Below are 25,708 nucleotides of genomic sequence, written 5' to 3'. Positions count from 1 at the left end.
TATTTAAATTAATTCTATTTACCATCTACCCATTTTGACTTTCACCCTCTCCACTCCATTTCCTTTCCTGCTAGAATATCCACTTTTACTTGAGATTCACCGACCTGAATCACATTCAGTTTTCAGGCAGTGCCAGCACCTGAGATCAATGCTATCTTCTTTATCCTTTATGACATGCCTGTACTGTCTAGAAATTATGAACCTGATCTTTCAGATGGGAAAACAAAACCCCGAAATAGTGCACCTAAAAATGCAAGGCAAATAAGTACTCACTTGCCCCAAGGGGCCACGATAGATTTCTCTCCACCTTGGGGCACCCTTCCCTCATCTCACTTGTTTGTATTTATTTATTTTGAGACTGAGTTTCGCTCTTGTTGCCCGGGCTGGAGTGCAATGTTACCATCTCGGCTCACTGAAACCTCCACCTCCTGGGTTCAAGCGATTCTCCTGCCTCAGCCTCCTGAGTAGCTGGGCTTACAGGCATGTGCCACCACGCCCGGCCAATTTTGTATTTTTAGTGGAGACGGGGTTTCTCCATGTTGGTCAGGCTGGTCGCGAACTCCCAACCTTAAGTGATCTGCCTGCCTCGGCCTCCCAAAGTGCTGAAATTACAGGCGTGAGCCACCGTGCCCGGCCCCCTCATCTCACTTCTAATGAGCTTCTCACACTGCTTGACTCAAGAAAATCTAGCCCAAATCTCTCCAAAGTTAAGACCCTCCCTTGTCACACTTTCCTCTACTGGTCACCGGACGCTCTTCCTTCCTGATCCCTGGTTTCCTATCTGAATGTGCTTTCCTTCAAGCCCTCTCTTCTTTCTCAATTCTCGATTTGGAGTCTGCCCCAGCCTTGCCTTGCTCTGGCTACAGGGCAGGAGCTGGCTGTAGGAACTTCTTTATTCTGACACAGTCCAGGCCTGGCACAGCTGTGTGAGATCTAAGTCTGTATAGGTGGATGATCAAGATGGAAATGGATACAGATGCCCATCTCTGCCCTGTGTCTGATTCCTCCTGGCCAGAGTGCAAGCCTCACCCTGGTGGGGACAGATTCTGTCCAGGCACAGCAGCAGTGAGACATTCCTCACATTCAGAGAAACCCCTCCAGCCCCTGGCTTCTCTTCCTAATTTGGTAACTACCAAGCCTCCTCCCTCCCTCTCCGCTGGGCCTGACCAGATTTCCCTTTCCTCCTGCCCGCTGCTGAAGAGGCTGCTCTGAAGCGGCCTGACTCACCTCCTTGGCTGCAGCCGCCTGCTCCCTAAACCGCCCGGCCAGCTGGGCCACCGAGGGGGACGCCGAGTTGTCCACATTGGCATTGGTCTCTGCCGGTCTTTCCTGGCAAATGGAGAAGAAGAAACAGTTAATCAGCAAATGGGTACCAGATGCCATGCAAGGCACCTGTTTTGTGGCTGCAAGCAGGAATGCTGTGACAGTGAGGTATTTTAACAGCATTATCCAACTGGCTCCTGCATTCAAGGACTTAAAAAATTCGGTCAATCACATTTAGTGAATATCTACAATGCTCTTGGCCCGGGGTGTGGCTTTGGGGACCTGGAGACAAACAAAACCTGGTTCTGTCCTGGAGGGGTGCCCTGGGATGTCAGAGGCAGTACAGGTCCAATTTTCTCATTCCTCAAGGACCCCACCGGCAAAGGGCAACGTCTGCGACAGTGTACGAGTCTCCTTACCTCCTGAACAAGGGTGAGCAAATGCCCTTTATTGAACTTGAAACACATATATATGTGTCTTTTGTTCCCTACTTGAGTGCCATGGGTAAAGAAGCGCTCAGTAAATATTTGTGGAATTAATAAGTAAGTGACACGAGAGCAGATAGCACAGTGGATGGGAGCCAAACTGCCTGGATTCAAGCACTGACTTGCTCCATCTCTTACCAGCCTGGGGACCTGGGGCAAATGGCTTAGCCTTTCTGTGCCTTGACAAGGATGGCTGTAGCACATCCCTCATCAGTTGTTTTGTGGATTAAATGATTTGCTATATACCCAGAGGGCTGGGACAAGGCCTGGCTCATTGCAAATGCTTTGGAAGGGTGGTTGTTATTGTTACTGGCGGTGAGTCTTGCCTCCAGTGTGGTCATCAGTTTACCGTGGCTGTCCCTCCATTGAGGTGCCCCCAGGTTCCCTGAAGAGGCCAAGATGCACCCCAGGACACCATTTATTCTCATGTACCATTTGTCACCAAGACACACAGAGTAAGTCAGTGATGCTGGAAATGGCCAGTTCGTTTCTGCCTTGTTACAGGAGGCCTACATAACCACTTGGTTTGAATAAGATTTTTTACATGTCCAGTCCCGGAGACATTAGGTTTTTGTCTTTTGTCACCATGGTGGCAGCATTTCTTACACAGACTTCGAACTCCCCCTGCACTTCCCCTCCTCACGTCTAGTCTGAAAATGGGAGGATTTGGGCAGCAGTTTGTCTGAGAAAGTCCATCCTGCCTTTCCCTGGCTCTTGTGGTCTACAAAAACAAAGGATGCTTCCCTCCAGCAGCGAGCTTACTCCCTTGTACACACACACACACACACACACACACACACACACACACACACTCTTCCATGGCCCTCCTTTTGTGCTAAAAGTGGTGTCTCTGAGCTTTCTTATTTGGGTGCTCCCTCCAAAGTAAATAACTTTAGTCATTCTAAGATGCTGTCCCCTTGGAGCAAGGGAGGGGCAGATCTCCTCACCTCCCAGCCACTTCCAGCAGGGAAGTTAAGTTAATGGGGCAAAGTTTTGAGAAGAAGGCTTTGACAGGCCGGACATGGTGGCTCACGCCTGTAATCCCAGCACTTTGGGAGGCCGAGGCAGTTGATCACTTGAGGTCAGAAGTTCGAGACCAGTCTAGCCAACGTGGTGAAACCCCATCTCTACTAAAAATACAAAATTAGCCGGGTGTGGTGGTGTGCACCTGTAATCTCAGTTACTTGGGAGGCTGAGGCAGGAGAATTGCTTGAACCTGGGAGGCAGAAGTTGCAGTGAGCCAAGATCACACCACTGCACTCCAGACTGGGTGACAGAATGAGACTCCATCTCAAAAAAAAAAAAAAAGGCTTCGTTTAGGGATTTGAAGGAACTGCTGGGGCCATGGACTTTCCGATCTGCGAACAGCTGTTCTGGAGGAAAAGACAGGTACCCCTTTACTGTGGGTTGCTATAATTCAAGCTCATCTCCATACCAGCCTAAACACCAAATGCTGATTTCACATAAAGATATAAAAGGATTCACCTCTATTCAAGATGCCAGATTTCCCCATGATGCTGGGGGAAAGCCGAGGAGTGCGAGGCCCCACCCTGATGAGTTCCCCACTGGGAGGGGCTCCTAGACTTGACACGTTTTACCCTCACACTTGCCACATAAGGAAGTCAGAGAATGGAACAACGAGAGAGAGGCTTGGGGACAGTGTGTGATTAATTGAGCTGTTCTTGGCAAAGATGCTGGCTGATTGGTTTGTCCATCTGTCTAACTTCTTGCCCACATCACAGATCAGTCTCTCTGTCCCCTGCTATTTATGCTTGGGTCCTGCTGACAGTGTGCTTTACCTCAGTTTCAAAGGCGCCAATCACTGGTGGAGCAGGAAGATAAATTCCAGTTAAAAATAGAGCTGTATAGGAATCAAAAGCTCCTCCCTTACTTCCCTGTCCCAAAACTAGCCTTGGCAAGGGGCTCAGAAGTGAGAGAACTCTGAGGCTTCTGGAAGCACTTAGGGCTTAAAAGCTGGGTTGAAGGAAAGATTCTATTACCTCTGAGTTTGTTTTCCTGGAGCCTAGTGAATGGCTTTTCTTTAGACTAAGGACTCCAGAGCTTGTCGAAGCTTGGCAGATCCTGTCACCATCAGCCCCTCTCCAGACACTTCCCATCCTCTGTTGCAGAAGACTGATTGATTATTACCGTCTGCCCTCCAGGCACATTAAACCCAGAGAAGGCAAGTGACAGCCAGAGTCACACAGAACAGGCCAAACAAGGTAATCTGTGAAACATCTGACTCCAACTCCTGAGACTCCAGTAATGGACATCAGTTAAGTAGCATCATTTGTGAAAGTGCCTTGGCAACTCTAAAGTGCTATACAAATCTCAACATTATTATTAGCCTCTGATTTGCATAGCTGCAATGGAAGAAGTGTGGTCTTGGGGATGAATCGGGGCTGGTGGCTCAGCCTGTTTGATGCCTTGCCTGGATTTCTGCCTTGCAGTTCTGGCAGGTACAGCTGCTAACCCCTCTCCAGTGTGCTCAGCACCATACCACCTCAGCCATGGGCCAGGAGCTCTTCACGGCAGTCCCGCTAAGGCCATACCCTCACCTTGACTGTTAGGTCTGAGAACTTCAGTTTCTCTACCTATTCCCAGACTTTCCTGAGACACCCTTAGCCTCTCTGGATTAAATGTTCTTTCTCTGTTCCTGTGATGTCCATAAAGTACTTAGCACAGAGCCTGAAACATAGCATGTACTTGGCTGGGCACAGTAGCTCAAGCCTGGAATCCCAGCATTTTGGGAGTCCAAGGCAGGAGGATCTCTTGAGCTCAGGAGTTCGAGACCAGACTGGGCAATAAAGAGAGACCCCATCTGTATACAATATTAGCCTAGTGTGGTGGCGTGTGCCTATGGTCCCAGCTACTCAGGAGGCTGAGGAGAGAGGATCACTCGGGCCCAGTTGGTCGAGGCTGCAGTAAGCCCTGCTCACATCACTGCACCACTGCACTCCTGCCTGGGGCAACAGAGACTCTGCCTGAAAAAAACAAAAACAAAAACAAAAACAAAAACAAAAACAAAAACAGGGCTCATCTAAGGTTGGTTTCTTCCTCCTCCTCCTCCTCCTCCCATCCGACCTGGTCTGCTGGTGTCAGGGCCTGGGTACCTGCTCACAAAGTCACTGACACCCTCAACTCACCCCCATGGACCATACCCAGATGTATGTAAGTCCCTCCCCTGCCAGCATCTACCCTCCAGGTCCTGGTCATTGCCTTGACTTCAGCTTGTCCTTTCTTCTTGGGCCATTTTCCATGTCTTAGATCTGTTTTCTGCACTCATCTCCCTTTGTGCCCTGCTTTAGCTCACACTTGTCTTTACAGATCGCAGGCCTGTACTCCATCTTCCTGGGCCCAGGTCTTGCTTACGAAGCCCTCCCTGCTACCTTCCAGCTGGGCCATGCCAGGTAACTCGGAAACCATGCCTGTGGTTACTGTCTGGCCTGACTTTGCCAAGGCTAGGAGAAAATCACCTCTGGTGTTTACTTTCTATTTCTATGGGACTTTCTTCCGAGAACTGAGGAGCCCCTGTGTCTGGACAGCATGGAACTTCCCCTCCGCTGTTGCCATGTTGCGTAAACACAGTTTGGATACTGCTGACCATCCACATAATGAGACCTTTATGTACAGGCCAGACTAGGCTCTACCTGCTTCCTAGGCTCTGCCCTGTCTCTCCACCTTCTGCGCTCATCCAAGGTCTCAGTATCTCCCAGCCTTTGGGCTATGGTTTAGGGAAACAAGGCCCCAGGGAAGGCCTCATCATCTGCAGCTTAAGAGAAGATGCAGTGAGAGAGCCCAGTGTGGGGCTGGAAGAACTATGCTCTTGGCCAAAAGGAAGTTTCTCTCTCTCACCAGAAATAGGCCAGAGCCCAGAGCCTCAAAGGTCTGAGGTATGTTTGCTTCTTCACTCCTCCAGAACTGAAGGGGATCACCCCTTCCAGTGTGACCACGCTTAAATCATCACTTCAAAAAGACCACCATAGAATCTCTCTGAAATACTGCAATGACTCTAGAATCTTCCTTTATGTCCTTAGTTATCCCTAGTTCTTCAATGTATCCCAATGTTTGACCATTACTATCCTAGGAGGATGGAAAGGGTTCTGGACTGGGAACCAGGTAGGTCCATTTGACCTGCTCATCTACCAGAGTACCTCCTATGTGGGAGGCACTGTCCTTACAGCCTTTGATATATTTTCTGTAATTCTTACCTCTCTAAAAGAGGAAACTGGGGCCTAGAGTTGCTAAGTAAGTTACTATTCAAGTCAGTAAGTGCAGGCATGAGAATTTTCTGGATTCCAAAGCTCTTTCCACACCAACATGCTGTACTAACTCTATGCCTTTACTGGAAGAGTTAACTTAGTCTCTTGTTAATAGGCATTTACTGGTCTAGGCCCTGAGATACATCAGTGAACAAGACAGTCCTTGCCCTTCAGAAGTTGCTACTTCAGCAATAAACAGGTACACAGCGAAACCATAAGACGCTTTGTTAAACGCTGTGAAGAAAATAAAACAGGGCACTTATTTTATGGGAATGTGGGAAGACATCTCTGAAGAGAGAGCACATGAGTTGAATCCCAGTTGGGGAAAAGAGAAAAGGAAAATTGTTCTGAGCAGAAGCACAGACAGAAACAAAGGTTGAGGGGCAGAGAAAAGAGAAGGGTGGCAGGGACAACAAGAGGGGGCGGGAAGATGCGAGTGGTAGTGTGAGGCCAGCTACATTGGGCCTCATGGACCAGAGCGCGCAGTTTGTGTTTTATCTTGAACCAGCAGGATGTCATTTGGAGGGTTTCAAGGAGGGACGTGACCTGAGTCGCGCATCAAGGAGCTGTCTGTGGAGGAGGGACAGGAGTGGAAGAGGGTGAGCAGAGGCAGGTGCTGGCAGCGGTCCAGCTGAGATTGGGTGCGGGAGTGAACAGGGCTTGTGCAGGGGGATGGGATTTGAAGGTCAGGCTGCTGGGAATTACTGATGCATGGGTGTGAGCAAGGGAAAGAGAAGAATCATGGATGACTCCTGAAGGTTTGACTTGGATAACGGGATGCATGGGGTATTTGCTTCTGGGTTGAAAGCCATGTTGGGGAGAGAGGGGTGGGTGGGGCTAGTTGGGCAATGAATAGTTCTTCCTTGGTCATGAAAGTCTGACATGTCTATTAGACGTCTAAGTGGAGATGCAATGCAGGAGGTTGAATATATACCCAAGTCTGGAGTTCAGAGAAGTGTTTCAGGCCAGAAACAAAACTTGGAGAGTCACTAGCTAGAAATGGTAGTTGATGTTACGAGACTGCATAAAGTCAGAGGAAACAGAGAATAGGGAAGAGAAGAGGCCCAAAGACTGAGGTCTGGGATGTCTCCTTAGTCACCCTAAGCTGCCTTTCATTCTCAATGTGAGGGGACTGGTCCTGTTATTCCAGTGGGAGCCTGGAGGGCATTTTGGTGTAGAATGCAGATGGGATGGGCTTGAAAGGAAAATAAACCTCAGACTGCAAAATCACTAATCCAAAGGGAAAAGTCAAGCTGTGAAACGCATCAGGCAAATCTGCCTCCCACTTTATTCCTGAATAAGATAAACAAAGATTAAAAAGCGACATACCCCCCTCATAATTTTTCCCACTAGAAAATTCCTTGTGGGCCTCAAGATCTTTTCCCTAAACAGTTTTGTTGAATTTTACCCTGACAATGTAAATTGATAGCTTATCTTCACAGGTGCGGGACAAAGGACAGAACTCTAAGTCAGTCTCCTGCTCACCTGAGACAAATGCATATCAGATTGCTTCCTCTGATATAAAAATGCAGATTCACTGAGCTATGGAGGCAATAGGTGGACTGTTTCCTCTACTCATCTCTCACATGTAAATTGTGTATCTGGTGAAAGGCTGATCAAAGTCTGAAAAGAGTGAAACCATTTGTCTCTTATCTACCCACACCTTTTAAAAATTTCTTCCTGTTTCCCCAATATTCATCCTTTCCTCTTTAAATATTAAAGGCTTCAACATCATCTTTGGCGAAAGGCACAGACCTGCCTCCTGGGGGCACATGCTTAACTTTGGCAAAATAAACTTTCTGAATAAAGACCTGTCTCAGATAATTTTGGTTCACATGGCTTAGGGCCAGAAGATTTCTTTGGCTAAAGTGATAGAGGGTAAGAAATCCTGAATGTCACTCATGAATGTTGCGTGCCCCATCCACATTGTCGGGTCATTTAATCACCCCTTCCTGAGCATCTGTAGACACTGTAGAATGCATTGGGGTAACCGTGACGGCCCTCAAGGAGTGAACAGCCTTTTTCAGGGGTGAGGAGAATACAGAGAGGTAAAGAAGAACTGCAAGAAATAGATAAGGTAGAGGAATTGAAACAAGCATATATTAACAAATACATGTAATCAGATATCTCACACAGAACCAAAAAAGTCCCAGATGTCCCCTACCTAACCACTTGTAGGCTTTAAGGATCTGAAAATGGCAGGTCCTTGGTCTCTGCAACTGGCTCCCAGGGAGAATCCCAGGAGGTGCTCCACTCACACAAAGGACCCACACGCAGGCATTGAGCCTGGGAGTGTGTCCCTGTTTGGAACCTCCAGGGCTTCCCATTTGCTCCCAGGACTTGGCATTGTCACCCAATATTACGGACAGGGTTTAGCTGTTCTCACACTGTGGGAAACAGTCCTGGCTGCTTCAGTGGTTTTAAAATCAGCATAGTTCACAGCCTCTGGTGCCTGGGAGGGTCCTCCAGGTGGGGGTCTGTGGGTTTAGTAGTGATGGCTAGTGTCTGGGCAAATTCCCAGGTGCCAGCAGGGGACCATAGAGAAGAGGGAGATGTTCATCCAGAATGCCATTGCAGTGACAGGATTTTATCAGTGTAATTTGGGAGATGATGGTGGGAAATTTGTCTCTAAAATGTGCCAACTGTTGTACAAGCATAAAGAAAGAAAAGAAATTATTTTGAGTCTGGTGGGGGTGGGAAAGCACAAAGAACAACAAATTCAGAGTCAGATCTGGGTTTCAGTCTTGCTTCTGATATATGTTGGGTGTGAACCTCTCTGAGTCTCAGTTTCCTTGTTTGTAAATGAGGCCATTAACATCTATCATCCTTTGGTTCAACCCAATATGCAAACACTCATCTTGTTTTCTGGCAGTGGCACCGCCCTTCTTCCATGGATGGCAGGAAGGAGGCTGATGCACTGTCTGCCCTGGAGGGTGCACTATGCTTTACACTGCTCTATGAAGGGAAGCACAGAGCTCAGGCTTTGAGCCAGACTGTCTGGGTTCAAATCCCAGCTCTACATTTACTAGTTCTATGGCCTTGGACAAGTTACCTAACTTGTCCGTGCCTCAGATTGCCTATCTGTAAAACGGAATGATGATGATAGTAGTTATGTTACAGGCTCATTGGAAGGATTTAATGAGTTTTTGTAGGTGAAATGCTTAGAACAGGGCCTAGCATGTAGGAAGTGTTTGATAATTGTTAGCTATTACTGGATGTTGGCTATGGGGCTAGCAGCATTCCTGAATACTCTGAGGGATGCCTAGGCTTGCATCCTAGATGTCTAATCTTCTCCTGTCCTTCCATCCCATCTTGGATACAGAAGTCCCAGATAGAGCCCCAGCTAGCTAAGATGTGCTCCTTGCTGCTTGCAGCCATTCTTTGCTCAAGAATGGACCATCTGGACTCAGCGATTTTGGTGGGCTATTTTATTACTAAGGCAAGAGCTTAACAGACACTCTCACCCCAACCCTGAGCTCATATCATCCCTGAGAGATGGATGTGCGTGGTATCTAGCAATTAAAAAATAAATACAGCTGAGTTTCGTTTTATGGCTTTTAGGGTCACGACAAGGGTTTTGAATACTCACACATCCCAGCTGTCCAGAGCTCTGGGTCAAGTCAAACAGCTGAACCAAAATATCAAGTCCATGTCTGACATGGTTTGGCTGTGTCCCCGCCCAAATCTCATCTTGAATTCTAGCTCTAATAATTCTCATGTTTAATAGGAGGGACCAGGTGGGAGGTAATTGAATTATGGGAGCAGTTGTTTCCCATGCTGTTCTCATGGTAGTGAATAAGTCTCATGAAATCTGATGGTTTTATAAAGGGGAGTTCCCCTGCAAAAGCTCTCTTGCCTGCCGCCATGTAGGCCGTGTCTTTGCTTCTCTTTTGCCTTCCGCCATGCTTGTGAGGCCCACCCAGCCATGTGGAACTGTGAGTCCATTAAACCTCATTCCTTTATAAATTACCCAGTCTTGGGTATGCTTTTTTTTTTTTTTTTTTTTTTTTTCCGAGATGGAGTCTCATTCTGTCACCCTGGCTGAAGTGCAGTGGTGAGATCTCGGCTCACTGCAACCTCCACCTCCTGGGTTCAAGCAGCTCTCCTGCCTCAGCCTCCGAAGTAGCTGGGACTACAGGCACGTGCCACCAGGCCCAGCTAATTTTTTGTATTTTTAGTAGAGATGGGGTTTCACTGTGTTAGCCAGGATGGTCTTGATCTCCTGACTTTGTGATTCACCCACCTCAGCCTCCCAAAGTGCTGGGATTACAGGTGTGAGCCACCGCACCCGGCTGGATATGTCTTTATTAGCAGCATGAGAACAGACTAATACAATGTCCATTCACTGACAAATGGAGAAACAAAATGTGACACAGCCATACAGTGGAATATTTTTCACCTATAAAAAGGAATGAAGCTCTAATACATAGTAAATGTGATAAACCTTGAAAACATTACGCTAAGTGAAAGAAGCCCATCACAAAAGACCACATATTATGTGATTTCATTGTTATGACATGTCCAGAATAGGCAAATTCAGAGAGAAAGAAAGTAGGTTAATAGTTGCCTAGAGGAGATAGGAAGACAGGAGGTGGGGTGATAGCTAAAGCCTACAGGCTTTCTTCTTTTTCAGTGATGAAAATGTTCTAAAATTGACTGTGGTGGTGGTTGCACAGTCTGTGAACATACCAAAAAGTATTTCATTGTACACTTTAAATAGGTGACATGTATGTAAACGATATCTCAATAAAACTGTTATTTTTAAAAATTGTCAGGTCCTTACAGCCAGTCTGTTGGATTGTGGGTAGGAGGGGCCAATGGAGGGAAATTGGCTTTACTTCCATGTTCGTGACTTTCCTTCCCTCATGCTCAGCACCCTCCACCCACAGGCTCAGCCCTTCCCTGCCTCCAGCATGCCTTGCAGCTGCAGACACATCTGAGCAGTCTCTTCCAACCCACCACTGGGAGGGCTTATAGGTCTGTGAGGAAGACAGGGTGAGTTTCATGTCAAGTACCTGTGAAGGGTCTGGCTTGAGGGGGCACTCAGTCCATGGCTGTTCACTTATTCATTCATTCAGTTAATATTTATTGAACACCTTATGGGCCTGACACTTGTCAGATGTGGGGATGTAAAGATGAAGTTTCATGGTCCTAGAGCTCAATGAGCTTCTACTCTAGTTGAAAGGCAGACTTGTAATAAAACTATCAGAATGAAAACAGGCCATTGCTGCAATTGGGAAATGCATAACACTGCAATGGAAGCTCAGGAGAAGGGGTAGTTAACCTGCTTAGGTGAATCAGGGAACGCTTCACAGAGGAAGTGATGTTTACGCAGAGTCTTGAAGGACAGATAACAGCTTGCTAGGAGAGAAGGTGGGCATGAGGGGAGAAGGAGGAAGGCATGTTGTAGGCACAGGGGCTGGCTGGTACACGCAAAGTGTCAAAAGCATGGAAGGGCATGATGTCTATGGGAAACTTTAGTTCAATATGGTCTAAGCAAAAAGAAAGGTAGAGAAATTGAAAGATGTGGCTTGTCCAGAGTAAGGCATATGCAAGTTATAATTCAGGCTCCAGAACTCATTAGCTATATAGGTGACCTTGAGTAAGTCACTTGATTTCTTGAGTCTCAGTTTCAACATCTGTAAAATGAGGTGGGCAATACCTGTGTCATTGTGTGGTGATGAGTATCTAAGATGATAACAGCCATCATAGCCAACACTCACTGTGAGCTTCCTCGGTGCCAGCTCATACCTCAAGTGCCCACTGAGCACATGGGAAGTGCTTGGTGAAAGCTGTTATACTGAGGCTGTGCTGCAACATGTGGACTTCATTTCTTAAGCCGAGATGATGAGGGAAGTTATCTGATTTGCTGTTTAGAAGGATTACGCGGAAGCAGATAGTTATCAATCTATGTTTCAATCCATTCTGAAAACCTTGGGCAAATGGAGGGAATCTGCTGCTACTCTTTTAAGGCAGTGCTGTTAAAAAGGAATCATTGTCATGTCTTCCTCCTCCTCTCTTCTTTGTTCTTCTTCTCTTCTTCTTATAATTATGCTTATTGCTATCTTTCATATGCTCTCCCATTGCCTAATGCAGGGAGCTCTCAGAGGCTTGCTGGTAAGAACGCAAGGTCAGTCCCGAGCATCGTCTTGGATCTGCCTCTTTCCTGAGTGTCAGATCACATGAGCTCTTGCAGTCTCAGCCTCCTCATCTGTAAAATGGGATCAAAATACCTGCCTTACCTATCCCAACTATCACGGGATAGTTGTGAGGCTCTAAAGACACAATGAATGAAAGCACCCTGGATGAGACATACACAGAGAAGGACAGGATGAGCATGGTCTATACCTCTGGAGTCTATGGCCTACTGTGGAACAGGGACAATTAAGCAAGTATGTAAAGTATGATAGGTCAGTCAGTATGGTAGCAGAATAATGGCCCTCAAAGATGTCCTCATCCTAGTCCCTGGAACCTGTGAATATGTTAGATTAAATGGCAATGAGGAATTAAGGTTACAGATGGAATTAAGGCTGCCAGTCAGCTGACTGGATTATTCAGTGGCTCCCATATTATCACAAGAGCCCTTAAAGTGGAAGAGGATGGCAGAAGAGTGAGAGTCAGAGTGATGGGAGGCAAGAAAGACTCTACCCACCATTGCTGTCTTTGAAGATGGAGGAAGGAGCCACAAACCAGCAAAAATGCAGGCAGCCTCTAGAAGCTGAAAAAGGCAAGAAAATGGTTTCTTCCCTAGACCCTTCAGAAGAAATGCAGCCCTGCCAAAAACTTGATTTTAGTCCATCTTGAGCTTTTGACCTCCAGAACTCTAAGATAATAAGTTCATATAGTGCAAGCCACTAAGTTGGTGGACATTTGTCACAGCAGCCATAGGAAACTAATACAGTCAGTCGGTCAAGTATTTGCAAGCACCCACGATGTGTTCTGAGTTCTGAGAACATAGTGGGGAAGAAGAGAAAGTCACTGCTTATCACTGGAGCTCACATTCCAGTGGAGAGAGCTAGGCAGTAAACAAATAAGCAAGTGAATGTATAGTATGTGAGTGGTGCTAATATGGAGAGTGTCAGCCTCCACCTCTGCAAGGGAGGTCACAAGAGGCCTTCTGAGCAGGAGGTGGAGGAGGAGGAGGAGGAGTTGACATTGAGTTGTGGGTGCTATGATTGCAGAAGGACATGGTGAAATGCACAGCAGGAGCACACAACCTGGCCAGAGGCACCCGGGAAGACTTCCAGGAGGAAGTAACAAACTGGCCAAGCCTGAAGGGTAAGCAGAGCTGGTCATTCTCACGAGGGAGCTGCACAGTTGAGGAGTTCAAGGCCAGGGGAGCCTCAGGGAATGACAAGTTCTGTCATGTAAGCATGCGTGCAAGATGAGGCCAGAGCATGAAAGGCTGCCTAAGTTGGGACTCTGGCCTGAGGGCCATCTGAGGTCACTGGAGGGTTCTAAGCAAAAAGCAAAACCACAGATTTATTTTTGCAAGATGCCTATGGCTGCAGGGTAAGACATGTGTGGCCTGGGGTTCAGGAGTGGTCTTCAGGAGGTGGAGAGCCCAGTCTAGAGGCCATTGCAACTATCATGGAAGGTAAAAAATGAGCAAGTTGACAACTATGCTGTCTCCTGCAGAAGGTGGCAGAAGATCTTTTCACTGGGTTCAGCTTCTTGTGGGGTCTGGATCTGCCAAGGGAATTGGGAGCTGCATTTGGGAAGAGTGAGTGTGGAGGAGAGCAGGAGTAAGGAGAGCTGAGAAATGGATAAGGGCTGGCCCCTTCCGGGGTGAAATGGCAAGAAAGAAAGAACCTCTGGCAATGGGATGGCTGAAAGGACTGTGAGGATCAGGATCTCAAATCCTTGATTTAGAATTGTTAGCTGTGTGGTATCAGCAGACCTTCAGTAAAAGTTGAACTGTGTGCAGAAGCCTTCTATTTGTGGGTGCTTTTTAGACATGTAGAGTGAGAATCAAGAGCATAGCCCACATTTAGAGGAGTAAAGGAATGGCTTCAAGATGTGGAGTTTATTGAATGAACTACTCAGTGGCTATTAATGAGACCCTACAACATGCCAGACCCTAGGCCAGGCGCTAGGGATTCATCAGAGCAGAGCAGATGAGGCTCCCTCTTTATAAGAAAACGGAGAATAGGGATTCAGCAGAGGCAGAAAACTGGGCCCAGTGGTGACCATGAGCAGATAAGTCCATCTGAAAATAAGTAGAGATCTTAAGGATGGCTTGGATCCACAGGGTTGGAGTCAATATTCTGTTGATTTCAGGAGTCTTTAAAACTAGAGAGGATGATGGCCTGGATGGGGGTATGGTTAGTGGAGGGGAGATTGTTGATAGGACTCAAAAGCAATTTAGGAGGAAGGACTGACCAGAATTGGGGACTGATGGGTGGGGCAGGGTGGAGTCAAGATGATGCCCAGATTTCTGGCTCTGGCTTCTGGGTGGAGAGGAGTGTCATTTACAGAGAGGGGGAGCCGAGGGGAGGAGCAGGACTGGAGGAGTGCTCAGAAAGGGTGAGTTGCCAGAGTGGAGGGCCCACGGCAGACCCTGAAGCACCTGCTTGGGATTTGTGGAGTCAGACAAACCTGAGGGTGAATCTTGGCTCAAATTACAAGGTGATGGCAGAGGCTGAAGACAGGGAGGGTGAGCAAAGGCTGCAGAGGAGATGGAGAGGGTGCTGGGATGAAGAGGCAGAAGGCAGCAATGCCTCAGGGGGTTACACACAACCATTTTTGTCTTCTCTTTCCTTTTCCCACCAGCAGGCATGCAGGGGCAGAGCTGCCGATCAAACTCAACCTTGTCAGTCTGGCAGCCTCTGAACAGCTCGAGTGGTTTTTTTTTTTTTTTTCTTTTGCAAAGGGAAAGAGTGGGAAAGAAGTGTCTCTTCATAGCTGGCATGGGTGATTTAGATGGATTTACTCACCTAAGCCAACAAGTAAATGTACGATTTGTTACTCTCCAAGGTAAGTTCAGAATCTCCCTGTTATGCACTACTCTGACTCTCTACTGTTGGTTAGTTCAATAATAAAATTGACTTCACAGAGAGCTCCTCTGAGTCTGAAGGGTGGTTGGTCTCCAGGAGCCACCTTTCCAGGATTGCCTGGAGTCCTGGGGTATGTTACAGCCACCTGGAGGCCCACACAAGTACCCTTCACTAGGGGCCATTCCTGCCTCCCAGGCAGGAGTCAAGTGACAGTGTGAGTGTGCGTGTGCGTGTGTGTCCTGAGGTCTGGGACACTTGTCCTTCAGGCTGCAGCAGGAAGCCAGGGCATACCTTCTAAGATTAGAACAAATTTCCTAAGGACCCAGCCCCCGGTCTGCATCCCAGTCAGCTGTAGCCTCTCCTGTTACAGCGTCTCCCAACCCTGACTCCCTTGCAGTCAGGAGTGAGCATTAGCAGGACATGGTGCTGGGCCCTCTGGTCCCTGCCCCTGCAAGCCTCAAGAGGGGGTACTGGAGGGAGACAGGAGAGGACCATCAGTCAAGACAAATTTTTGCATTTGACTTGTGGATCCAGGTCACACGCAGAAGAAATCAATGATAATAATTCAGTAGCTGCAACATCCTGAGCACCGAGTACATGCCAGGCCATTTGCATGCACAGTCTTGGTTAAAGTATGTAACAAAACCCAAAGAGGAAGCCACTTTGCCTAGTACTCCATGTAAAGTGAAAAGAGCAGATGGGGCAAGGGCTATGCTGGAGACCAAAAGAGGCCCTGCCTGCTGCAAATAGACATAATTTCTGATGGTTCCCAGGCCCATTCTCAGAGGATCAGGGCTGGCCTTGAAGTGACAGGTCAGGCAGGTTCAAGCAAGCCCAGACTACAGCCTAGGGCTTGTCCTGTGGAGGCCAATAGGCCTTGGCTCACATTATCAAGGTAATGGCAGAGCAGGAAGCTAGGAAGAAAAAAGAACTTTTTCCACTTTAATCAGTCTGTATCTGCACCAATGGTCTTACATGGTCACTTGATCAAATTGCCTATAATTATTTGTCCATGATCCCTTGAAAATTCTAGATAGCCCTATTATCCATAAATCAAGGTGTTTCCAGTGTTTAGATGTCACAGTCATTAGATTATTAGCAAACATGCAGAACTTTTTTCATGCACATCATTTCCTTACTTAATCTTTGACTGTACTTGGAATTAATGCATAGGGGAAGTGTCTAATTCGGAGGCAGAAGAAAAATAAAGGGATTCAGAAGAACACAAGCTTAAGTTTTTATAAATTACTGAATTCACAAATCTGTTTAACTACATTTGCAAAACACTACACAAAGTTCTAGAAAGTATTTATGAATGCCTAGATATACAGACAGCACAATCTGAAAAACTGACATCTGAGCTTCCTTCAAGCACAGTTTCACCCTGGGCACTTCCAGAAAACCCCCTGTGAAGCTCCCCTTCCCCACCATGCACCTTCCCCCATTCAGGCAGAATTGGCAGCTCCCTCTTTTTTTTTTTTTTTTTAGTACATCTTGGACATATTCATTCATTCATTATTTCTGTATTCCAGGCCCTGCAGTTGGTGCTCAGGGTTTAGGAATGAACCAAATCAAAAGAGTCCTTTCATAATGGAGGTTACAGTCTAGTAGGGGAGACATATATTCCATAGCCATTATTATCTTAGCTCCAGCTTATTATTTATTAGGGTGATAAATGCTGAAGAGGAAAAGGGTTTTAGGAGAGCAGGTGACAAGAAAATCTGACCCAAAGATGTGACATTTAAACTGAGGTCAGTAGAAGTGATCCAGGCAAAGTGTGAGGTTTGAGGGGTAAGGAGGGTTAGTCAGAGGGTGGCCAGAGGTAGCCAAGGGCATTTGAGTAGAGTTTACACAAAAACCTCCTGGAGGAGAGACAGGAGGTGTTTGAGGAACTGAAAGAAGATGTGGCTGGAACTCACAGAGTTTTTTTTTTTTCTGGAGACGGAGTCTTGCTCTGTTGCCCAGGCTGGAGTGCATTGGTGCAATCTCAGCTTACTGCAACCTCCGCCTGCCAGGTTCAAGCGATTCTCCTGCCGCAGCCTCCCGAGTAGCTGGGATTACAGGTGCCACACTCAGCTAATTTGCTAATTTTTAGTAGAGACGGGGGTTTCACTATGTTGGCCAGGCTGGTTTTGAACTCCTGACCTCAGGTGATCCATCCGCCTTGGCCTCCTAAAGTGTCGGGATTACAGGTGTGAGCCATCACACCTGGCCCGAGAGCTTTTAAAATACCCACATTTTTCATGTTTTTCTCTTTCTACTGTAATTGCTGAGCACACAGACCATGTGTTATTCATGGCTCCATCCCCTAGCCCATAGTAGGTACTCAGTAAATGCCGGTAAATGAATGAACAAATAAATGAATGATGCCTCCGTAAACCAATACCACTGGGGCAACATTGTGAGGGATTGATAAATATAGATCAGGACCTTGAAGCAAAAATGGAAACAAATTGTCATCCAGGGAGGCTCTGAGCATACCAGGCTTGAATATTTTCATTAAGGTTCAGTGACTTGTCCAAGCTCCCTAAAATAGTAACCAAAGGGCAAAGAATGAGACTTTCTCCTGCCCAAGCCATTACTTAACAATCTGAGCCTCCTGTCTCTAACTGGAGCTATGAAATCTATTATAATTCCATATCTCTATCCATGGGTATCTGTCTTCTCCAGTTTTAACAACCCAACCTATCCTAGAACATGACACATCAAAAATACTTAAAATTTGTTTCTTTATCTAGAGTGGTTGAATATATCTGTTTGCTGCTTGATATTTTCAGATCCATTTCAGCAAGGAGAAAATTTGAAGAAAAGAAAGTTATAATGCAGAAGGTAGAATTAATATATTATGAATATAGTAGAATGGTGTCTGCCCCAGTTCTGAAGTCCACATCTCTGGTCCGGTCTCAGTATCTGCCTTCAGTCACCAAGGGAGAGGCTCCATGCCTCCAAGCCCCTTCCAAGGGCTCCTCTGCAGCCCAGGGATGCTCAAGGCAGGATTCCACAGTCTCTAGTATATCAAGAGGGCTCCATCCAAAGTACGGGATAGGCGCCCCCTCCCTTGAAGCCTACTCAGCTACAATGAGGCGGCCCCCTCCCTTGAAGCCTACTCAGCTACAATGGGACCAAAAGGAGTCTTGGAGCTGAGTTTTTAAAATAAACTTTTCCATCTCCTCTCACCAGCCTGCTACAAAAAGGGAAAAGAAACAAAAGCCATCCAGCTGAGTTGAATTGCTTCACTTGAAAGTTCTATTGCAGGGGTCTCCAATCTTTTGGTTTCCCTGGGCCACAGTGGAAGAATTGTCTTAGGGCACACATAAAATACACTTAAAAAACTCATGATGTTTAAAGAAAGTTTATGAATTTGTGTTAGGCCACATTCAAAGCCGTCCCCCTTGGCCACATGTGGCCAATGGGCCGTGGGTTGGACAAGCTTGTTCTATTAGGTTTTACAGAGCAAAGCAGCTAGGCTCCTGGCATGGCAGGGAAGACTGTTGGGTGTTCAGCCTGCAGAGGTTTGCTGATGGCCAGCCCTCTCTCTTCCACCCACCCTTTCCTCTGGATGCTCCCTTTGGGCCTTGGGCTGATTCACAGTTACTGTCCCCTCCCAGGGCTGACGGAAAGCATTCCAGGGCTTTCCGTCATGGTCCCATGAGAATTCAGACCTGTGTGTGGGGAGTGGCAAGTCCCCTCTGTAACTAGCATCATCCGCATACTCAGGAATTCTCTCTACACTTCCTTCCTGCTCACTGTCTCTCTTTAGAAACTGGTTTTGAATGAGTAGTAGTAGGCTTTCATAATGTATTTTTCAACAGTAATAAAACAGCTAATTTACTGAATGATTATTGTGCCAGGTACTGTGCTAAGATGATCTCATTGAATCCCCATGACACCTCTGTGACATGGATTCATAATTATCTCCTTTTTACTGATGAGAGAATTGAGACTCAGGAGCCCAAGTAACTGAATTATGGGTTGTGGAGCTACTGATGGGAGATCTGGAACCCATGCTCAGTTGGTTTATTAAAGCCTGTGCTCCCAACCACAACTCCACACTGCCTCCAGCAGGAAAAGCATAGAGAGTTTACGTTTTGGGATTAAAAAGTGCTCATTTGGCTAGGCATGGTGGCTTACGCCTGTAATCCCAGCACTTTGGGAGGCTGAGGCAGGCCTATCACTTAAGGCCAGGAGTTTGAGAACAGCCTGGCAAACATGGCCAAACCCCGTCTCGACTAAAAATACAAAAATTAGCCGGGTGTGGTGGCACACGCCTGTAATCTCAGCTACTCAGGAGGCTGAGGCACGAGAATCTCTGGAACCTGGGAGGCAGAGGTTGCAGTGAGTGGAGATCATGCCACCGCACTCCAGACTGGGCAACGGAGTGAGACTCTGTCTCAAAAAAAAAAAAGGTGCTCATCAAATTTATTAATAATGAGACAATAGTAAAAATGGGCAAAGGATTTAAACAGACACTTCACCAAAAAATACATATGAATCACTAATAAGCACATTAGTCATTAGGTAAACACAAATTAAGACTGTAAAGAGATACCACTACACACCCACAAGAATGGCTAAATTAAAATGAACTGACAATACCAAATGACGGTGAAGCTGCAGAACAACTGGATCACTCCTATATTGTTGGTGGGAATGTGAAACAGTATAGTCACTTTGAAAAATATTTTGGTAGCTGCTCGTGAAGTTAAGCATACACCTACACTACACCTACCAACAATCTTACTTGTATTTGCCCAAGAGAAATGAAAGCTTATGTTCACATAAATACTTGTATACAAATCTTCAAAGAAATTTTATTATTAATATCTGAGACCTAGAAATAACTCAAATGTCCATCAATGGGTAAGTAGACAGACAAATTGTGTTATACGTACATTATGGAATACTATTCAGCAATAAAAAGGAACAAACTACTGATACACACAGCAACATGCATGAATCTGAAAAGCATTGTGTTAAGTGAAAGAGGTCAGACAGAAATGACTTCCCGTATGGTTCTATTTACATAACATTCTTTAAAAGGCAAAACTATAATAACAGAAAGAAGATCACTGATTGCGTGGGACCAGTGGTGGGGGCAGGGAATTGACTGTAAAGAGTGTGAAGGGTCTTTTGGGGTGATAGAAATGCTCTATATCTTCTTCTTCTTTTTTTTTTTTTTTTTGGTGACACAGAGTCTCACTTCATCACCCACGCTGGAGTGCAGTGGCACGATCTCGGCTCACTGCAACCTTCACCTCCTGAGTTCAAGAGATTCTCGTGCCTCAGTCTTCTGAGTAGCTCGGATTACAGGCATGCGCCACCACGCCTGGCTAATTTGTATTTTTAGTAGAGACAAGGTTTCTCCAGGTTGGTCCGGCTGGTCTTGAACTCTTGACCTCAGTTGATCCACCCGCCTTGGCCTCCCAAAGTGCTGGGATTCTAGGCGCGAGCCACTGCACTGGGCCAATTTTTGTATTTGTAGTAGAGACAGGGTTTTGCCATGTTGGCCAGGCTGGTCTCAAACTCCTGACCTCAAGTGATCTGCCAGCCTCAGCCTCCCAAAGCACAAGGATTACAGGCGTGAGCCATAACAGCCAGCCAGAAATGCTCTATACCTTGATCATGGTCTACATCTCGTGGTGGTGGCTATATGACTGTATACATTTGTCAACACTCATCAATGTATACACTTAAAAGGGGTGAATTTTATTGTAGATATATTTTACCTCAAAAAGGTGATTAAAACATTTTAAAGTGCTCATGATAGTTCAAATACAAAAGTTGAGGTGCACTCAGGCTGCAGGAGGTCTTTCATTTGCCCTAGGGCTAGGAACCTGGCTTGGTCTCAGGATGCCAGCTCTGTGTGCCTCAGGGCGTGAGCAGGAATGCGCTGTGGCTGCAGGAGGCTGGCAGCCTCTGGTAGCTGCTGGGAGTAGGCCACATCCAGCCACTCCTGTCCAGCCCAGGGCAGCTGCCAGGACTCATGCAGCAAGATAGTGGAGACAGCACAGAATTTGGAGCTTGGCAAGACCAGGTTTGGATCCCACTCTGTAATTGACGGGTTGTGGGATCCTAGGCAATTGACTTAACTGTTCAGACTCTCATCTGTAAAATGAGGATAATAACACCCCCTACAAGGTCATGGGGATACTAGGAGATGGTGTTTGATTAGACAGTTTGGGTTCACATCCAGACCTTGCCTTTTACTAGATGTGTGATCTTAGGCAAGACACTTGACCTTATTGAGCCTTAGTTTCCCCACTTGTAAAATAAACATTTATAATAGCACTTATTTTTTAGAATTGTGATAAAGCCCAAATGAGATATTGCATATAAAGCCCCAGCACAGTGCCTGGCACATAATAAGCTCTCCCCTCATTTTAGCTATTGTTGTTGTCACCTAAGATACCAACTGGCACACAGTAGGTGTTAGTCAAAATGTGGGCTCCCTTGCACTCTTCGTAGAGATACCAGGCTGTTGCCAGTTTGGCCCTGAAGAATTCTAAGGGGGTGGCAGGGATCTGCTGTTGCCAAGTCATTTTCATTCCCATCTTGCAGAATAGGTTGGCAGAGCAGATGGGCTGGCATTGCATCTTCATGTCGGAGGAATTTACAAATGGGAGTCTTTGGAACCACAAGAGCAAGCTGGAGTGTGATTCTGGCCTCCAGCCATGAGGACACTCTCTCAGAGAAGGGCCATTTGTGTGCTGGGGTCATTTGGATGTCTCCAGGCTGTGGGGTAGGGTAATGGGTCAGGATCAGCCTTCAGAGGGAAGACTGCTTGTGGCTTCTGCAGGTTGGGGAGGGTCTTGCCGTTACCCAGGCGTATGGTATGAAGGGGCCATAAAGGGCAAGTCCAGTGCAGCTGGCTAGTGCAGCTGGCCTCAGGGGTGTGGCCACAGTTTGAGGGCTGTGCCTGCCCCTGCAGGTCTAGGCCTGATGGGGATAATTTCTCAAGTGAGGGCAGGGGCTCTCAAAGGCTTCTGTGGGTGAATGGCCTGAGTAGTTCTCCAGGGAACACAATGGTCTAGGGAGTGGGACTACGGGGTTAAGTCTCTGAGCAGACAAGCCCTGTCCTGCAAAGTTAGAAGGGAAGATCCAGATGAGTCATTTCAAGAGCTGAGCAGCTGGGAGGCAGGCGAGGCCACTGACCCAGCAGTCAGAGGAGCGGCGTGAACTCACTGGCCCTGATGACCTTCTGCTTCATCTGTGAGATGAGGGGCTTGCAAAGGACGCTTCCTAAGACCCACGCTGCTGGCTTGCTCTTCATTTTTAACATAACGTAAGAAGAAAATTGGGAAAACTTGGGTTATCTTTCTTATGTAGATGAAAATAGAGGTGGATAATGGATAACCTAAATAAGTTCAGGCAGAATCGCAAGAAACTCGGCCAGGGAACTCAGGGATGCCAAGCAAACCCAGCGCTTGCTACAGCCCCAACATCTTCACACTCAGCTCTTCCAAGTAAAGAATCCCATCCCTCCTCCTCCTCTTCCTTCCTAAGAAGATTTTAGGAGTGGAACTCCCTGCCTTTCTTAAATCAGGAATAAAATGCCCAATATGATACGGTCCTTTTATTCCAAATTAGCAAGCTGAGGCCAGCCGTTCTTTCGAAAAGGAGAGTTTCTGGAAAGCAGATGGCATGGCTCAAATAGCCTAGGAGGTGTCCACAAGCAATTATAGAGGAAAGTGGATGAAAAACTGGTAATGAAGAACAGTGACCAAGATGATCAAGGGACACAAGGCCAGAAGAAGTATAATTGTGAACGGGGAGAAGAAAAAAAGAAATGAGGAGGCAGAAAGAGAAAGAGAGAAAGAGAGAGACAGCAAGATCAAGACAGCCTGCATATACCACATACACACACGAGTGTGCTGCCTGCACACCCCAATCCCCCAGCACCCCAGGGGATTGCTGCTACCCAGCTAGGGAAAAAATAACCTTCACTTTGGTTTCATCAGAAAAGTCATAAAAGATGGAATGAAGATTTTGTTTTCTTTCCTGTTACTTTTTTGCCATCTGCTACAGCAAGGGCACAGGCCCAGCCCCTTGGCCAGCTTGAAAGCCTCATGGTTCTGAAGCAGGAAGGGTCAAGGCAGGAAGCAGGGGCTCTAAGAATAGAATGGGTCATCTAGGGAAGCTTTTGGAATAGATACAGACAGGGCTTTTCACTAATCCCCTAGGGTGAGTGACTGGGGCACTCCTCACTCCCTCAGGGGGCTCCCAGACTCTAAGCAGAGGTTAACATACAAGGTTGCTGCACAGATCAATCTGTGCATTATATTCCTCATGGGAAACCCAAGAAGGGTCCTCCTTATAGTGAGCACAGAAATATAATGGCCCCTCAGCCCAAGAAGCAATGAATGCAAGATCTAAGATACAAATAAGCCAATCTTCTCTTGCTACACTCCCATCAGCATCTGTACTATCCTCCACCAAAGGCATGAGGAATCTCTTTTTGGATACTGGCCAATCTGCTCCTTGTGTAGTTATTTGGGCAGATGACTCACAAGATTTTATATATATTAATCGACAGCGGAACTGTGGACAGCCCAGGCAGTACTTTATCCCACCACCTCAGCACATCCACATCCACTTCCTAGTGGCCTCCAGGAGCCCAGGATGGTGGCTGCTGTGGCTTTTGCAGGAGAGGTGGCTCCACTCTTAGTGGCTTCCAGCCACTACACCCAGAGAGGATCCAGGATTGCAAAAGGACCTTCTAGATCCCTACAGAAAGCAGAGAGCAGAAATGGTGTTCATTTCCACCCCAGGGTCAGCACAGTGCTGGCAGTGAGGCCAGACTGGCCCATGCTTGTCTGTCTGCGATCAGCCTAACGTCCAAGCACAGGCTGGCATGGAAGATCCAGAACTAGGCCCTCAACCAGGGACTCCACCAGGGGAGGATGTGGAGTTAGAAGTGCAGGGTCTAGTCCCAGACCTGCACTTCACGGCAGGGACCCTGGACAAGCTACCTATCTTTTCTCGACTTCATTTTCTTCCTCTGTAAAATGGGGATGATATCTACTACATAGGATTATAATGAAGATAAGTCACAATGTGTATGGTAAGTGCCTTATAAACCAATGTTTATTTAAAAATAAGGAAATCCCAATATGTATTATTCCTATTTTCAACTGATTTTACTTAATGTGGTTAGGGGCAGGCCCATGTTGGGGATAGAACATGCTTGATAGTCAAGATCAAGCAGGGACTTCTTTAGGCCCCTAGTTGAAAGCAATGAGATTTAAGAAGATTCAGTGTCCCTACAGAATTCTTAGCTAAACCTCATTTTGGTGGAGGCCAAAGGAAGTTCCTGAAAAATAAAAAACAATCAACCAACAATTTGGTGGTGGGGAGGAGTTTATAGAGAAATTAAGTTCCTCTGTATTGAAGTTGACAGACCAGTTAGGGAAATATGAAACCAGGGTATATCAAATGCAAGAGTGAATTAAAGCTGGGCACGGCGGCTCACACCTGAAATCCCAGCACTTTGGGAGGCCAAGTCAGAAGGATTGCTTGAAGCCAGGACTTCAAGAACACCCTGGACAACAAAATGAGACTCCATTGCTACACAAAAATAGAGAAATTAGCCCAGCATGCTGGCATGCACCTATAGTCCTACATATTCAAGAGGTATTCAAGAGGCTGAGGTGGGAAGATCACTTGAGCCCAAGACTTCAAGGCTTCAGAGAGCTATGACTGCACTCCAGCCTGCAACAGAGTAAGACCCTGTTTCTAAAAAAAAAAAAACAAAACAGTGAATTAAGGAGCCAATGGTATAGAGGTTGTAACTCTAGGGGGCATGATTCACAGCCCAAGGAGCAGCACAGGTTGTTAAGTGTGGCTGTGGCTATGGGCCCAGGAAGGAGAAGTGATGGGGTAAGGATGGGGATCAGATGTGATCAAAACGTGATTATAGACAGTGTTCTGGAGATGGAGTGTCTGACTGACATCTCCACTCTGTTCCTTATGTGACCCTGGGCAAGTAACAACCTCTGTAAGCATCAGGGGCCTCATCTAAAAGTGAGGATAGGAACGCTTAACATCATAGGCGTCAAACAAGAGAGCACATGTAAAATGCTTAACACAGAGCTTGGCACACAGACAAGTGTTCAACAAATGCAAGCTATTAAGCATGGAGCCAAGGTATTTGGAATCTATCCTGAAGGGGTAAATATGACGAGGAGTTTAAGAGAAAACACTTGTCCTGAATTCTTACGTGCAAACCAAGATTGCAAAAAAGAGGCACGTGGGCAGCCCTCACAGTGATGCAGACATCCTTTTGGAGAGAGCGTTCAATGTCCAGGGAAGGGTGAGTGACCTGGCTAAGATGGCAGGAAAAGACCCTGTAACCCTGGGAGGCCCTGGAGCAGAGGCATGGCGAGTTCAGGGACATTCCACATCTATCCCACCAGAGAGAAGGGCAAAATATAGAAGAGAGCTGAGAAAATGGAAGGAAAACTTCCATTTAAGGAGCAAATGGGGGAGGGGGCTGACAAGGGAGGAAAGAGATGACAGAAGCTAAAAGCTGGAGCTAGAAAAATTCCAGACTGGTATCAGCTGTAAGATCTGGCCAGGGAATGGACACGTGGTCCAAGGGGAGCCTGTGATCACAGTTCCCAGCATGCTTTGCTGGATTCCCACGCCTGGCTCTGCAGTTCATGGCATTCTGAAGGCAAATTGAGATTACTTAGTTGAAACATAG

General features: G+C 46.7%; 1 protein-coding gene across 3 annotated transcripts in view, besides 3 other annotated features; it reads right to left on the bottom strand.

Moving 5' to 3' along the window:
* Positions 1-25,708, bottom strand: part of RCSD1 (RCSD domain containing 1) — a 78,465-nt gene that overhangs the window by 23,468 nt on the left and 29,289 nt on the right. For all 3 annotated transcript variants that reach the window (NM_052862.4, NM_001322923.2, NM_001322924.2), the window contains exon 2: positions 1,228-1,329. In NM_052862.4, coding sequence (NP_443094.3) covers positions 1,228-1,329 — 102 coding nt within the window. The remainder of the gene's footprint in view (positions 1-1,227; positions 1,330-25,708) is intronic.
* Positions 4,748-4,951: a silencer, noted in NCBI's record as "fragment chr1:167649515-167649718 (GRCh37/hg19 assembly coordinates)". NCBI's record gives its function as "represses an EF-1alpha promoter that drives an FKBP-Casp9 reporter gene in an ReSE screen in phorbol 12-myristate 13-acetate-treated (for megakaryocytic differentiation) K562 erythroleukemia cells {active_cell/tissue: K562(+PMA)}" and the evidence as "EXISTENCE:reporter gene assay evidence [ECO:0000049][PMID:32094911]".
* Positions 15,511-15,570: an enhancer, noted in NCBI's record as "active region_2049". NCBI's record gives its function as "activates an Ori minimal core promoter by ATAC-STARR-seq in GM12878 lymphoblastoid cells {active_cell/tissue: GM12878}" and the evidence as "EXISTENCE:reporter gene assay evidence [ECO:0000049][PMID:35858748]".
* Positions 22,090-22,189: an enhancer, noted in NCBI's record as "active region_2048". NCBI's record gives its function as "activates an Ori minimal core promoter by ATAC-STARR-seq in GM12878 lymphoblastoid cells {active_cell/tissue: GM12878}" and the evidence as "EXISTENCE:reporter gene assay evidence [ECO:0000049][PMID:35858748]".

The sequence above is a fragment of the Homo sapiens genome, chromosome 1 (assembly GCF_000001405.40).
Source record: "Homo sapiens chromosome 1, GRCh38.p14 Primary Assembly".
NCBI lineage: Eukaryota > Metazoa > Chordata > Mammalia > Primates > Hominidae > Homo > Homo sapiens.
The sequence above is the reverse complement of the archived record's forward strand: the minus strand, read 5'-3'. Positions and strand labels throughout refer to the sequence as shown.